The sequence below is a fragment of the Homo sapiens genome, chromosome 19 (assembly GCF_000001405.40).
Source record: "Homo sapiens chromosome 19, GRCh38.p14 Primary Assembly".
Taxonomy (NCBI): Eukaryota; Metazoa; Chordata; class Mammalia; order Primates; family Hominidae; genus Homo; species Homo sapiens.
The window spans coordinates 38260475-38275786 of record NC_000019.10 but is presented as its reverse complement, the minus strand read 5'-3'; the positions used below and the strand labels follow the sequence as shown (position 1 = coordinate 38275786).

Below are 15312 nucleotides of genomic sequence, written 5' to 3'. Positions count from 1 at the left end.
ACTCCAGCCTGGGCAACAAGAGTGAAACTTCATCTCTCAAAAAAAAAAAAAAATTTTTTTGTCAAGCTGGGCATGGTGGCTCATACCTATAATCCCAGCACTTTGGGAGGCCGAGGCAGGAGGATCATTTGAGGTCACGAGTTCAAGACCAGCCTGGGCAACATAGTGAGACCCTGTCTCTACAAAAAATAAAAAAATTTTTTTGGCCAGATACAGTGGCTCACACCTGTGGTCAGGATTTCAAGACCACCCTGGCTATCATGGCGAAACCCCATCTCTACTAAAAATATAAAACTTAGCCCGGCACAGTGGCGCGCGCCTGTAGTCCCAGCTACTCGGGAGGCTGAGGCGGGACAATCACTTGAACTCAGGAGGCGGAGGTTGCAGTGAGCTGAGATCGCACCACTGCACTCTAGCCTGGGCGACAGAGCAAGACCCTGTGTCAAAAAAATAAGGAAAGAAAAACTCTATTGGCTATAAATGCACAGAGTAACAAAACAAAACAAAACAAACAAACAGAAAGAATGTTTATTTAGCATACTGTAAGTTAAAACATTGGAAACATTTAGGATTAAAGTGTTAATTTCTGTGCAAAAGAATTTCTAAGGGGAGTTTGAACCGTGCTTGTGGTCTTCTCACCATATAACTTACGATACAGAGCAAGCATCATTTCTACACCTTTTCCAGCAATTGCCAAACACTTTTCTAGATCTGGATCAGCTTTCAACGTTTTATCCTTTGCTCTTTCAATGTCACAAAATTGCTCGCAGAGCTGCTTCACAGAAGAGGCTCTGCCAGTGTTGCTTCCTCTGGGCCACCATCCAGAAAGTCACAACTGCCGCCCTCATTTCCGTGGACAAGAAGCCTTCACAAGCTCCCTGGCTGCAGATCCAGAGTCTCTCCAGTGGCAGAGGGAAGTGCAACACCTCCCGTAAGCTGGTCTACCTCTCCATTTTATGTTTTTTTTTTTTTTTAAGACAGTCTCACTCTGTCGTCCAGGCTGGAATGCAATAGTGCGATCTAGGCTCACTGCAACCTCTGCCTCCCGGGTTCAAGTCATCTCCTGCCTCAGCCTCCTGAGTAGCTAGGACTCCAGGAGTGTACTACCACACCTGGCTACTTTGTGTATTTTCAGTAGATAGGGTTTTGCTGTGCTGGCCAGGCTGGCCTCAAACTCCTAACCTCAAGTGATCTGCCTACCTCGGCCTCCCAAAGTGCTGGGATTACAGGCGTGAGCCACCTTAGCGAAAAACACTGCAGAACACCTTTCCTAAAAACAACTAACATCACTAAAAACAAGTCTCCTCTTTTCATTAAAAACACTTGGAATTCTAAGGATAGTAGCCAAGGAGAAGTTATTTGCTATAAAAATCCCCAGACATGCCACTCCTTAGTATCAAAAAGCAAAGAAAGCTCTGAAGAGTCATTTAATCCAAGAGTTTCAAAGAACTCCATCTCAAAAAAAAAGAAAGAAAAAACATTGTTGTGAAGATTAAAGGAGTTTTTAATCCATTATAATTGCTTAAAATAGTATTTAGCACACAGCTTTCTTTTTTTTTTTGAGACAGGGACTTGCCCTGTCACCCAGGCTGGAGTACAGTGGTACAATCTTGGCTCACAGTAGCCTTGACCTGTGCTCAGTGACCCACCCACCTCAGCCTCCAAGTAGCTGGGACTATAGGCGTGTGCCACCATACCCGGTTAATTTTTGCATTTTTTGTAGAAACGAGGTTTCACCATGTTGCCCAGACTAGTATTGAAGTCCTGGGCTCAAATGATCCACCCGCCTCGGCCTCCTGAAGTGCTGGGATTACAGGCGTGAGCCACCGCACCTGGCCTAGCACAAAACTTTTAACAAATAGTAGATATTGTATCTTTACGATTGTATTTTTTATGAAGACAGGACTAATATAGGGACAGTCAGAATAAAGAGAATGACACATTTCACTACAGAGTCCAACCAAGCATGCTGACGGAGAGGATAAGGAGGAAGAGGATATACAGGGAAGGCCAAAAGTACAACCTCAAGCCAAACCAATGATGTCTTATCTTCACCTGGAGGAAGACAATGGCAAACCACCACACGGGTCAAAGTCCTGCATGGCTACAAGATCAGGATATGCTGGGCTGGGAGGCAGAAAGCCAGAGGGAGGGACTGGTGGAAAAAACAAATACCAAAACAAATGAAGCAACACAAACCCTCCATGCTTTCCACACCTACTTGCACTTGCACTTCAAGCATCTTTTCACCAGGGAATGAATGAGAGCATCTTAAAAAGAGGTACTGAGGCCGGGCACAGTGGCTCATGCCTGTAAGCCCAGCACTCTGGGAGGCCGAGGCAGATCACCTGAAGTCAGGAGTTCAAGAAAACAGGTACTGAATGACAGGAGGTACTGAAGCCTATTTCAATTCTACCAAGCCAGATTCCAAAGGTGACATTTACTGTGTAATCAGCCTTATTTTAAGATGATCTATAAATCTACCTACTTTGGTTAGCTGGCTAGGTTCTATATATTTGAGTGTTTCTGTTTCCAGTACAGAAAGCTACCAACTACCCATCTCCTCTAGGCTTGGGTGTCTGGAAGTTTTCATTATTGAGACAATTCAGAACCTTTCAAAAAAAAACCTCAGGTATTTATGAGGAAAGAACATTTACAATTACAAATCCTACTTAAGTTATGAGGCTCATAAAATCTTGGTGTTTCAGATATAAAATCTTGGTATTTTCTATATAAAATATTTAGATATAAAAGTTTACATTTCAGGCCGGGCACGGTGGCTCACGCCTGTAACCCCAGCACTCTGGGAGGCTGAGGCAGGTGGATCACCTGAGGTCAGGAGTTCAACACCAGCCTGGCCAACATGGTGAAACCCCGTCTCTACTAAAAATACAAAAAAATGAGCCGGGCGTGGTGGTGCATGCTTGTAATCCCAGTTACTCAGGAGGCTGAGGCAGGAGAATCGCTTGAACCCAGAAGGTGGAGGTTGCAGTGAGCCGAGATCGCACCACTGCACTCCAGAGTCTGGGCGACAGAGACTCCATATCAAAAAATAAAAAATTTACATTTCATAACCTATCAGCACAATGCAACTCATCACTACTCATGCCTACCATCACTCCATATTCCACTCTGAAACAAGACTATTAAGTCTACCCTCGCCTCAATCCATAACAAGAACCCGAGCAGTCCATCTGAATAGCTGGGAAGGAAACAATAGTTTCAAATCTTCTAAGAAACTGTCTGCTGTTAATTCGCATTCAGCCATTCTTTACCTTGTGCAAATCATGGACCATTTTCAGAACTGAGGAAAGCTCTTGGACCCTCTCTCTGGAATGGTGTTTCTCAACCTTTTTTCATTACTACCTTCCCCCTAAGACTTTTTGGAAATGTTTTTCCTAATCGCCCCACAAAATTTTAACACCACAGACATACTATATATCTATTCATGTAGAGCGGCCCTTCAAAAGGTCACAAACTATTATAGTATCTTTTTGTTCCCCCACCCCTTTAAGAACATGCCATACACTCTAAATGACAGACCCTGGCATACACATGGACAAACTATCACATATAAAATTGTTTTGAGATGGGGTCTCGCTCTGTCGCCCAGGCTGGAGTGCAATGGTGCGATCTCGGCTCACTGCAACCTCCACTTCCTGGGCTCAAGCAATTCTCCCACCTCAGCCTCCCACATAGCTGGGACTACAGGCTGACTAGTTTTTTGTATTTTTTGTTTCACCATGTTGAAACTCCTCAGTCAAGCAATCCACCTGCCTCAGCCCCCCAAAGTGCTGGGATTACAAGCGTGAGCCATTGTGCCCAGCAGTATCACATAAAAGTGAAGGACTTCAGATTAAGGGACTTCTGAGGCCATGGACCCTGGGCCCAGTCAGGAATCACCCTGAGCTCCATCTCCAACACGTGTGAGTAAAACAACATGTGAATTCTTGCCCTCTTTTTTTTCTGAGATGGAGTCTCACTCTGTCTCCCAGGCTGGACTGCAGTGGCGTGATCTCGGCTCACTGCAACCTCCACCCTCCGAGTTCAAGCGATTCTCCTGCCTCAGCCTCCAGGCGCCTGCCACTGCACCCGGCTAATTTTTTTTTGTATTTTTAGTAGAGATGGGGTTTCAACATCTTGGCCAGGCTGGTCTTGAACTCCTGATCTCGTGATCCACCCACCTCGGCCTCCCAAAGTGCTGGGATTACAGGCATGAGCCACTGTACCCGGCCAAACATGTGGTGGTCTCTTGTAAGTGGCTCCTCTCACTTAGCATAACATTTTTTTTTTTTTTGAGAGAGTCTTGCTCTGTTGCCCAGGCTGGAGTGCAGTGGCATGATCTCAGCTCACTGCAAGCTCCACTTCCTGGGTTCACGCCATTCTCCTGCCTTAGCCTCCCAGATAGCTGGGACTATAGGCGCCCGCCACCACGCGAGGCTAATTTTTTTGTATTTTTAGTAGAAACGGGTTTTCACCGTGTTAGCCAGGATGGTCTCGATCTCCTGATCTCGTGACCCGCCTGCCTCGGCCTCCCAAAGTGCTGGGGTTACAGGCATGAGCCACCGCGCCCGGCCTCGCCCTCATTTCTAAAATGGCTTCTAATCATAAAAAGCATATTTCAAATAAACTTCAAAATAAGTAAACTCTAGCTCCTACTTCACCTGCCAAGGAAAATAAAACAACAAAAAAAGGTAAATAAACTCCAAAGTTCCTGGGCCTCAGCATCAACATCAGCACTTCTTTACAGGGAGTTTTCAAAAAGATGTTGCCAGAAAAAAACCATGAAATGACACTTGTGAGGAGGATCTTGCAGGACATCGGAATCCACACTCTAATGTCCACATTAGTCATGGCCGGTGGGCCAAGGCCTCCTGGGGCTAATGGAGTCATTTCAGTGTGACTCCTGCTGGGCTCTCTCCCGCCTCACATGAGCCACAGGCTTATCACCCCTTATTCAGCCTCCCCTGTAGCCTCCAGACATGGCAAACAGAAGCTCTGCATGCATTCTGCAAATGGCTGGGGATGGGTAAAATGAGAAACAGGGTGGGGAGCAGGGTGAAAGAGGAGAAGTGTGATTTCTCCATTGCAGGCTGAGCTCTCAAATACTGACTGGGCAAAGCAATGTTTCCAGTGGAAAGGGGCCAGTCTCCCGCGGTGACCTGAAGGCAAGGCCCTCAACCTTCTTTAGGAACTGCAACCATTTGAACCTCAGAAGCCCCCATTTTCAGTGCTAAGCACACCAACCCTGACACTCATCACCAGACATACATTCATCTGTTCATTTATTGTACTGTCTTCCTCTCATTATGACACGTCTGCCACGGATGGGGGAGGGGGTCTATTTTGTTCAGTGCTCTAATTTGAGTGAGTCAGTGCCTGGCAATTGGTGGGTGCTCAATAAACATTTGCTGACTATATCAGTGAATAAGATTTCGAACTACCCTGGAACCAAACTGCCTTGCCTGCAAGTAGGACAAGCACTCCTTCTATGGAGGATAAGAATAATGTGAGAAGCTGTTTTAGAGAATTCCCAGCTGATCGCCAACACCAGCTTTACTTTAGCTCTTCTGTCATCTTATCTCTGACCACCAGGGTCACGACTATCCATGGGGGTGAGGAGGAAAGTAAAGAAAGGGTGGCAACTAATAACACGTCTGTGGAGTCTGCTGGAAAGCTTACAGCAGTTAAGGTTCTACAGACACTATAATTAACCTGAGAGGTCCATGCATTTCGAAAATCCCTTGGAAGTGCAGGAGAGGGCTGGGCCACGTGGCTCGAGCCTGTAATCCCAGCACTTTGAGAGGCTGAGGTGGGCAGATCACCTGAGGTCGGGAGTTCGAGACCAGCCTGGCCCACATGTTGAAATCCCATCTCAGGCCGGGCGCGGTGGCTCACGCCTGTAATCCCAGCACTTTGGGAGGCCGAGGCGGGCAGATCACAAGGTCAGGAGATCAAGACCATCCTGGCTAACACGGTGAAACCCCGTCTCTACTAAAAATACAAAAAATTAGCCGGGCGTGGCGGCAGGTGCCTGTAGTCCCAGTACTCGGGAGGCTGAGGCAGGAGAATGGTGTGAACCCAGGAGGCGGAGCTTGCAGTGAGCCGAGAACGCGCCACTGCACTCCGGCCTGGGCGACAGAGCGAGACACTCCGTCTCAAAAAAAAAAAAAAAAAAAGAAAAGAAATCCCATCTCAACTAAAAATACAAAAATTAGCTGGGTGTGGTGGTGCACACCTGTAACCCCAGCTACTCAGGCGGATGAGGCAGGAGAATCACTTGAACCCAGGAGGCAGAGGCTGCAATGAGCCAAGATGGCGCCACTGCACTCCAGTCTGAGTGACACAGCAAGACTCTGTCTCAAAAAAAAAAAAAAAAAAAAAAAGGTGCAGGAGAGGTTCTCAAATAAGTGTTGCCCTGCTTGCCTCCAGTGGAAATTCCCAAGAAGAATCAACAAAGGACCTTGAACCATCCTGGCTAACACGGTGGTGAGACCCTGTCTCTACTAAAAATACAAAAAATTAGCCGGGCGTGGTGGCGGGCGCCTGTAGTCCCAGCTACTCAGGAGGCTGAAGCAGGAGAATGATGTGAACCCGGGAGGTGGAGATTGCAGTGAGCTGAGATCGCGCTACTGCACTCCAGACTGGGCGATGAGAGAGACTCCGTCTCAAAAAAAAACCCAAAAAAACAAAAACAAACAAAAACAAAAACAAAAGACCTTAAGCCAAGTAACCATTAACACAAGTTCTGATGCCCAGGGCCAGGCACAAAGTTATTGGCAGCAAGAACTACACCTAACTGGCCACTCCTAAAGGACCTTTCAAGTTTCTATTCTGCTGAGGAAATATATGATCTGGCCTGGTGTTGAGCAACATTACACATTTCAGGACCCTCCAAATACCAGGATTTACCACCTGGGTGGGGAAAAGGAAAAGAAAAAAATCCTGCATATCTGCAGCTACCTGATATAAGGATTTCCCCAACAGCCAGCCGTAACACACACACACACACACACACACGCGCGCGCGCATGCTCTCTCTCTGTCTCACACTGTAATGTGCAATTTATAAAGAACTGTTACGTGTTACCATTTACTAAATGGAGCATATGTTTAAGGTAGGGGTCACAAGCCAAAGGCCTACAGAGACAGAGGGCAAGCAGTAGCTGAGATGAGGCAAGCTGAGTAAGATCTACAGGCTAGGGAATGGCATATCTCCTGCCTGAAAGAGGTACTCGGCTCCTGCCAGGGACTGCTGGGCAGGAAAACAGGCCTGTGTTCTGGTTTGGTTCCATTACATCTTCATGTCTTTCAGGCAAAGCCAAAAACTACATTTTTACGTTTAAAAAATCCCAATTCTGGAAAAAGTACAAGTCACATAAAGGCTGTGTGAAGCTTCCTGGGAGTGGACAGTTTATAATCTCTGCGTGCTTTCCACTCCAGACGGTAACTGTCCCTAACGCTAGATAGGGGAGCTTTCTCACCTGGCATAAGCTCAGCTTTCCCCCCACCTCTGTCTGCAGAGGTTGGAGTCAGGACACTCTTTGTCCGGCCCGTCCACCTGTCCCTTCCCACCTGCCCTCACTACTCAGAGCGTCACCAACACATCAATCATAGACCACATGATGCTTCTCACAAGAAGCCCCGACCCCTGAGTTAACCCTCACTCTCACACGGTGGGGCCTGCTTTGTCCCCATCTCCCCTCCCCCAACTCCTGGGCCCTCTGGTACTCAGGACTGGTCTTGAGCAAATCTTCCATGTCCTCAATCTCCTCTGAACATTGTTGCCACCCTCTTACCTAATTGGAATCTCCCCTGAGGGCACACCTCCTGGGGCCCTTCCAAGTGGGGAGGTCTCCTTGCTCCTGGGAGCTGCTTCTGGACTGTTCTCCCTCCACCCTCCCCAAAATCCCCAGCTGGGAGACTTCCATTATTAGAGTAAATCATTCACTACCCCGCCTGGCACGTTATCTGCCAACCCAGACAACTACTTCTTCCTTCCCAACTTTAGCTCCGGGCCTGCCACCTCTCCCGCTGCTCTTATGATCATTCTTGGAGATTTCTATATCCAGGTAGATGGTCCTCTGACCTCTAGGTCCCAAGACCTCCACCTGATCTCCTCCCACCCTCGCCCCCCCGCTTCCTCTCAGGGTCACACCTAGACCTGTCTCAGTAACTGCCACCTCTTCAGAACCTCCCTCTCATGCATCTCACTCACTACCCACTGCATCCTATCTGTCTGGTTCATTCCCTTCAGAACCTCAACTCCAACAATCTGCTGGCCCTACCATCTACCTCGGCCCTCCGCCCCCTCATGTTTTCATACAGAATAAATTCCTTGACCAACCCCCATCCTCCCTCCCTCACACATTCTCTGTTCACTCCTCCCTCACCACCACACTCATCCAGCAGCACCTGAGCCACTGCATGGAGCTTCAGCAACACCACACTCCCAGTGGATGACTCGCTTCCGGAGAAAACAGAAGCAATCAGGAAGGAGCGAGGAAAAAAAAGTCAAAACTGCCTTCTGCCTCCGATTAAGCTGTTCAAGCTTTCAAACAAACAGAACTTACGATGAGTGAGGGCATGAGTTCACCCAGTCAGACACTAGTACTTCTGAAAGGTCAGTAGGTCCAGTCGGCAGCAGCAGTCAGGTAGGCCACTCTGAACAGAGAAGGCCTCTGCAGTGAGACCTGGCTTTGTCAATTACTACTACCGAGTGACCTCGGGCAAGGCAAGTAACTTCACCACCGCACCCGGCTGTTTCAAAGGTTAAATGGCACATCCCAGCTCAGAGTAAGCACCAGAGGTAGCAAGAGGCCATGTCCCAGCTCAGAGTAAGCACCAGAGGTAGCAAGAGGCCAGGTAACTGGGAGGTACATCCTAACGTAATTACTTAAACTGAAAAAGTCCAGCAGAGCTGCCAAATTCTGGTTCGAATTGCAAGAATGATCAACGTCTGCATTCCTGACTCCCAGTCACCTACAGCTGAGCCTCTCCCCACCAATTCACTTTTTTCTCCTGCCTAGGGCACAGAGAAATTAACCAGTCCCCAGAAGTTACCACAGGTGATGACTTGGTACACACCTAGCCTGCTCTTTTTTTTTTTTTTGAGACTGAGTCTTGCTGTGTCGCCCAGGCTGCTGTGCAGTGGCTTGATCTCAGCTCACTACAGCCTCCGCCTCTGGGCTTCAAGCGATTCTCCTGCCTCAGCCTCCCGAGTAGCCGGGACTACAGGTGTGCACCACCATGCCCAGCTAATTTTTGTATTTTTGGTAGAGACGGGGTTTCATCATGTTGCCTAGGGTGGTGTTGAACTCCTGGCCTCCAGTGATCTGCCCGCCTTGGCCTCCCAAAGTTCTAGGATTACAGGCATGAGCCACATCACCCGGCCTTCTTTTTTTTTTTTTGAGATGGGAGTTTCACTCTTGTTGCCCAAGCTGGAATGCAGTGGCGCGATCTTGGCTCACTGCAACATCCGCCTCCCGGGTTCAAGCACCAGCACCTGTCTATAAAGCCCTAGGCCATCTGGCTGCAGCCAACCTCTCCCACCTCCCATCCTCCTCCAGTCCTCCCCTCCTTCACGCCTGCTCCAGCCAGGCTGGCTCTGTCTTTTCCCTGAACCCAACCAAGCTTGTTCCAGCTTCAAGGCCTTTGTACTCTATTGCCTGCAACTGGACACTGGTCCCCCAGGTCTCCGTGTGGCTACTGCCTCATTCTTCATGTTAGAGCTCAGATGTCACCCTCCTCACGGAGACGTCCCCCGACCACCTGAGCTAAAGCCGCCCCCAACATCTTACGTCACCCTGTTGGTGTACTTCACCTGGTTCATTTAATTCTCAGTAACTTAATCTCATGGCAAGTGCTTTTTAAACCTTCACTAGCTCTGCCTCTCCCACTGGAATATTAGCTCTGTGAATGCAGGAACCCAGCTAGTCTGAGTTAACTGTTATAACCAGCGCCAGTGCCTGACACGTAGCAGGGCCTCAGTAAGTTTTGCTGAATCAATGAATTCTTGCTTTCAAGAGAGCTCTTTTCAAAACACGCTGGTGCTTGTCTGAAGCAGTTAAGGTTATAACAACACTTGTTCAAAGAGACCTTTCAGACCACACTTCCTTAAGAGTGTAGAAGTTTAAATCACCTTATTCACCACCGACTTCTAAGGGCCAATCCAAAGACCCCAACACCAGCTGCTCAACGCCAATACTCTCTCGAGCCTTAGCAGAGCTTCCTCTTCCCCAAAGCTTGTTTCCTTTCTTGCTCCCTCCTTCTCGGGCACCTACTTTACTGCAACTCAACTACAAAAACTTCAGGGGAGGCTCTTGTCCAATCTCCAAAGAGGCAGGGGTGAGATGGGCTTCTTCCGAGTCTAAAACGGCCACCAGGTCACCCAACCCAACCCCCACCATCTCACAGGCCTGGCCTCTCCCTGAGCTTTGGCCATGGAACTTTCCACCGCCAGGAGAAGGCTGGTCTTCAATTCGGCTCCTCACCCCGTTCTTGCCACAGGAAGGGGCAGTGCCACGCCTTCTTGGTCAATACCCCTTGACTCTTCCTCCACCCGAAGGAAACTCTCCTAACCCTCGCTCCTCCGCCCGTCTTCGCTGTCGAAGGCTCCCAAACCTCATTTCAAGGCTCAATCCTCCAGGGCTGGTTCCACCACACCCGCTGAACGCCATCAAGTAGCCCCCAGTTTCCTCCCCCGCCAGTTCTCCCTGCTCAGACCCCCGTTGACCCCCGAGCCTCTGCCCCCTGCGCCCCGCCTCCAGCCTACCCGCCCGGCCCTCACCGTGGATGCTGCGTTCTCGGTCGGCCGCCAGGACCCCAGAGAGGAGCAGCGATCCCAGCAGGGCGAGAAACGCCCGGCTCCGCCTCAGCCCGCACAGCTGCGCCATGGCCAGCTCAGCCGAGACGCGCAGGCGACGCCACCAGCCGTTGGGGTCTCGCGATCAGGTGCGGGAAGCCCCTCAACGCGCACGCGCAATGGAGCGCCTCGCGTTCAGGTGCCGACGCTCCGGGAGGGTCCGCCAGGTGCCAAAGCCCCCGGAAGTCGCCTTTCCGGACCTTCAGTGTGGGGACGCCCGGCCTTCTCGGCGCGCGATGCCTGGGTCTGCTCCTCACTCGCGCCCTCGCCGCCTGCGACACTCAACGGCCCTCAGCGCGTTCAGAGCCGCGCTACACCTCCCAACGCGCGGAGGTCGCCAGAGCCAATGGCGAACGCCTATTGGAAGCGGCTCCCGAAGGTGGCCGGGCAGGCAGGGGGCGGGGCGCACCTGGCTAGGCAGGGCGAGCTGGGCGCAGGCGCAAAGGGCAGGCACCTGCGCGGCCGCTCCCCGGCCCTGGGCGCACCTGGGCCCGCCCCTGGTGCCGGGGAAGAGGCGGGGCTTGCGCGGGCCTCGCCCCCAACAGAACCTGGCGGGGCGGGGCGGGGCGTCTGCCCGCTGAGCACCTGCCACCCTTCCCTTGGGCTTGGTGACGACGTCGGAGGAGGGCCTTCGCTCTAGGACTGGCCTCAGGGTGGGAGGAGGGGGCGGCAGACACGCGTTTCTTGGAAGCCTGTGGTTTTCTGCCCGCCTCGCCGCAGCTTTCCTGTGAATTCCTTCCTGAATTTCAAAGTTCACTGGGCTCATGCTCCAGGGCTTAATGCTGGGGACCCAGCGGTGGCCATGCCAGACTGGTCCCTGAGTCACCAAACAGGAACGGCCCAGAGTAGTGATAGCGGAAGCTTAGCACAAAGTGATGAAAGCTGTGATGGGGAAGGCCAAGCTTAGGGATCAGAGGCTGGGTCGCTAGAAAACCAGGGCATGATGGGAGCCCAGACAGCTTTCCCATCCAGCCTGAGAGAGGGCCAAGGAGGGCTTCCTGGAGGAGGTGATAGGCCCATGCAAAAACAGCCCCGAGCCCTGGCTCCAAGGTTCTCAGGACAGATATGGAGACAAATACTTAGCACAGGCAGCATCAGAATTGAGAGGAAGGAAGCCCCTGGGGAAACCCAGAGAAGACACCTGACCAAGCCTGGGAGTCAAAGAGGGCTTCCTGGAAGAGGAGTTACGTGAACAGACTCTAGAAAGGGGAATGGAGTGGGGCAGGCACACGAGTAGAGGATAGCCAACAAGGTAATCAACATAAATGCATTATTATTGAAAACACTTTTAGATTATTTCTTTTTTTTTTTTTTTTTGAGATGGAAGTTTTGCTCTTGTTGCCCAGGCTGGAGTGCAATGGAGTGATCTTGGCTCACTGCAGCCTTGACCTCCTGGGCTCAAGGGATCCTCCCACCTCAGCCTCCCAAGTAGCTGGGACTACAGATGTGAGCCACCACATCCAGCTAATTTTTAAATTTTTTGTGGAGACAGGGGACTTGCTATGTTGCCCAGGCTGGTCTCAAACTCCTGGCTTCAAGGGATCCTCCTGTCTCATCCTTCCAAAAGTGTTGTATTACAGGCGTGAACCACCACACCTGGCCTGAAAACACTTTGACAGTGCTATACAGAAAAGGAATCAGGGGCTGGGATGGAAAATAACAAGAGATCTTTTGAATGGGGTGGCGGAGGAAGGGCTTTGTGAGGGGTGGCTTTGATAATGAACTCTGAAGGATGATAAAGGCCAAGGGACAAACATTCCAAGAATCAGGAATGGCACATGCGGAGGCCTTCAGGCAGGAAAGAGAATAGTGTGTTCAGGAGCCAGGGCCACTCCCACTCTTCAGCCTCCCTCCTAGCATAATAATACATGAAAAGCCGTAACTGAGTTATCAAAATGGTATTTACCTTAAACAATGGAAGTCTAACCTTGCAATGAGATCATGGGACTCAAGGTGGAATCTGAATGTGAGGCCAAAGGTCTCCCCCAGCACTTGAATCTCCCACTGCCACTCAGGCCTACTAAACCTAGGCTTGAGCATGAAAACAGAGAAGTATGTGCTGAGCCGTCAAGGCTTGGAAGAAGGTATAGGCCTCTTCTTTCTTTATTTTATTTTATTTTGAGACAGAGTTTCACCTGTTGCCCAGGCTGGAGTGCAATGCTGTGATCTCAGCTCACTGCAACCTCCACCTCCTGGATTCAAGCAATTCTCCTGCCTCAGCCTCCTGAGTAGCTGGGATTACAGGCACCACCCGCCACCACGCCCAGCTAATTTTTGTATTTTTTGTAGAGATGGAGTTTCACCATGTTGGCCAGGCTGGTCTCGAACTTCTGACCTCACGATCCGCCCACCTTGACCTCCCAAAGTGCTGGGATTACAGGCGTGAGCCACTGCATCTGTCCAGTTTTGAACTTTAAACACAAAAACTCAAAAGGAGGGCTGAGCGCAGTGGCTCATGCCTGTAATCCCAGCACTTTGGGAGGCCAAGGCGGGTGGATCACGAGGTCAGCAGATCAAGACCATCTTGGCTAACACGGTGAAAAAATCAAAAAGATTAGCCGGGCGTGGTGGCGGGAGCATGTAGTCCCAGCTACTCGGGAGGCTGAGGCAGGAGAATCTCTTGAACCCGGCAGGCGGGGTTTGCAGTGAGCCAATATTGTGCCACTGTACTCCAGCCTGAGCAACAGCGCGAGAGTCGTTCTCAAAAAAAAAAAAAAAAAAAAGAGGCCGGGCTCACACGCCTGTAATCCCCAGCACTTTGGGAGGCCTGGGCATCTCCATATCTGTCCTGAGAAACATTCCAAGCATCAACATTCCTGATGCTTGGAATGTTTGTCCCTTGGCCTTTATCATCCTTCAGAGTTCATTAAAAAGAGGTGGCTCACGCCTGTAATCCCCAGCACTTTGGGAGGCCGAGGTGGGCGGATCACGAGGTCAGGAATTTGAGACCAGCCTGGCCAACATAGTGAAACCCTGTCTCTACTAGAAATACAAAAATTAGCCGGGCGTGGTGGCGCGCGCCTGTAGTCCCAGCCACTGGAGAGGCTGAGGCAGGAGAATCGCTTGAACCCGGGAGGTGGAGGCTGCGGCGAGCCGAGATCGCCCCACTGCACACCAGCCCGGGCGACAGTGTGAGACTTCGTCTCAAAAAAAAAAAAAAAAAAAAGAAGGGCCGGGTGCGGTGGCTTATGCCTGTAATCTCAGCATTTTAGAAGGCTGAGGTGGGCGGATCACGAGGTCAGCAGATGGAGACCATCTGGGCTAACACGGTGAAACCCCGTCTCTACTGAAAAAAAGTACAAAAGACTAGCCGGGCGTGGTGGTGGGCGCATGTAGTCCCAGCTACTTGGGAGGCTGAGGCAGGAGAATCGCTTGAACCTGGGAGGTGGAGTTTGCAGTGAGCCGACATTGCGCCACTGCACTCCAGCCTGAGCGACGGCGCGAGACTCGTTCTCAAAAAAAAAAAAAAAAAAAAAAAAAAAGAGGCCGGGCGCGGTGGCGGGCGCCTGTAGTCCCAGCTACTCGGGAGGCTGAGGCAGGAGAATAGCTTGAATCCGGGAGGCGGAGGTTGCAGTGAGCTGAGACTGCACCACTGCCCTCCAGCCTGGGTGACAGAGCGAGACTCTGTCTCAAAAAAAAAAAAAAAAAAAAAAAAAAAAACACCAAAAAAAAAACCTTGACAGTAGGCCAGGCGTGGTTGGCTCACACCTGTAATCTCAGCACTTTGGGAGGCCGAGGCGAGCGGATCACCTGAGGTCGGGAGTTCAAGACCATCCTGACCAACATGGAGAAATCCTGTCTGCTAAAAATACAAAATTAGTCGGGCGTGGTGGCGGATGCCTGTAATCCGCGCTACTCAGGAGGCTGAGGCAGGAGAATCGCTTGAACCTGGGAGGTGGAGGTTGCAGTGAGCTGAGATAGTGCCATTGTACTCCAGCCTGGGCAACAAGAGCGAAACTCCGTCTCAAAAAATGAAACAAAAACAAAACAAAAAAAAAACCGACAGTAATTGCATCAATTGTTTTTTTCCCCCTTTTTTATATTGCATCAATTGTTTAGAAAGCAGACCACCAAAAGGTTTTTGTTTCTGTTTCTTCCCTGGGGAGGACTATTTTATCATTGACACTGTTTAGAAATGTCACTGCAAAGTAAAATAAAAATTAGACCAACTTTTGGTCAGTTTTTTTGAAATGGAGTCTCACTCTGTCTGTCGCCTAGGCTGCAGTGCAATGGCACGATCTTGGCTCATCGCAACCTCCACCTCCCGGGTTCAAGCGATTCTCCTGCCTCAGTCTCCCAAGTAGCTGGGATTACAGGCTTGTACCACCACACCCGGCTAATTTTTGTATTTTTATGGAGATGGGGTTTCACCATGTTGGCCAGGCAGGTCTTGAACTCCTGACCTCAGGTGATCTGCCTGCCTTGGCCTCCCAAAGTGCTGGGATTACA

The 15312-nt window shown here is 50.3% G+C and overlaps 1 protein-coding gene across 2 annotated transcripts in view, besides 4 other annotated features; it reads right to left on the bottom strand.

The window, feature by feature from the left end:
• SPINT2 (serine peptidase inhibitor, Kunitz type 2) overlaps positions 1 to 11214 on the bottom strand; it is a 28043-nt gene extending 16829 nt beyond the window's left edge. For both annotated transcript variants that reach the window (NM_021102.4, NM_001166103.2), the window contains exon 1: positions 10789 to 11214. In NM_021102.4, coding sequence (NP_066925.1) covers positions 10789 to 10894 — 106 coding nt within the window. In that variant the 5' untranslated portion in view covers positions 10895 to 11214. The remainder of the gene's footprint in view (positions 1 to 10788) is intronic.
• Positions 11190 to 11509: a silencer, noted in NCBI's record as "silent region_10565". NCBI's record gives its function as "represses an Ori minimal core promoter by ATAC-STARR-seq in GM12878 lymphoblastoid cells {active_cell/tissue: GM12878}" and the evidence as "EXISTENCE:reporter gene assay evidence [ECO:0000049][PMID:35858748]".
• Positions 11666 to 12583: an enhancer, noted in NCBI's record as "H3K27ac hESC enhancer chr19:38753844-38754761 (GRCh37/hg19 assembly coordinates)". NCBI's record gives its function as "activates a minimal SCP1, AML or CMV promoter by ChIP-STARR-seq in primed H9 embryonic stem cells {active_cell/tissue: H9 hESC(primed)}" and the evidence as "EXISTENCE:reporter gene assay evidence [ECO:0000049][PMID:30033119]".
• Positions 12724 to 13660: an enhancer, noted in NCBI's record as "H3K27ac hESC enhancer chr19:38752767-38753703 (GRCh37/hg19 assembly coordinates)". NCBI's record gives its function as "activates a minimal SCP1, AML or CMV promoter by ChIP-STARR-seq in naive and primed H9 embryonic stem cells {active_cell/tissue: H9 hESC(naive and primed)}" and the evidence as "EXISTENCE:reporter gene assay evidence [ECO:0000049][PMID:30033119]".
• Positions 13661 to 14598: an enhancer, noted in NCBI's record as "H3K27ac hESC enhancer chr19:38751829-38752766 (GRCh37/hg19 assembly coordinates)". NCBI's record gives its function as "activates a minimal SCP1, AML or CMV promoter by ChIP-STARR-seq in naive H9 embryonic stem cells {active_cell/tissue: H9 hESC(naive)}" and the evidence as "EXISTENCE:reporter gene assay evidence [ECO:0000049][PMID:30033119]".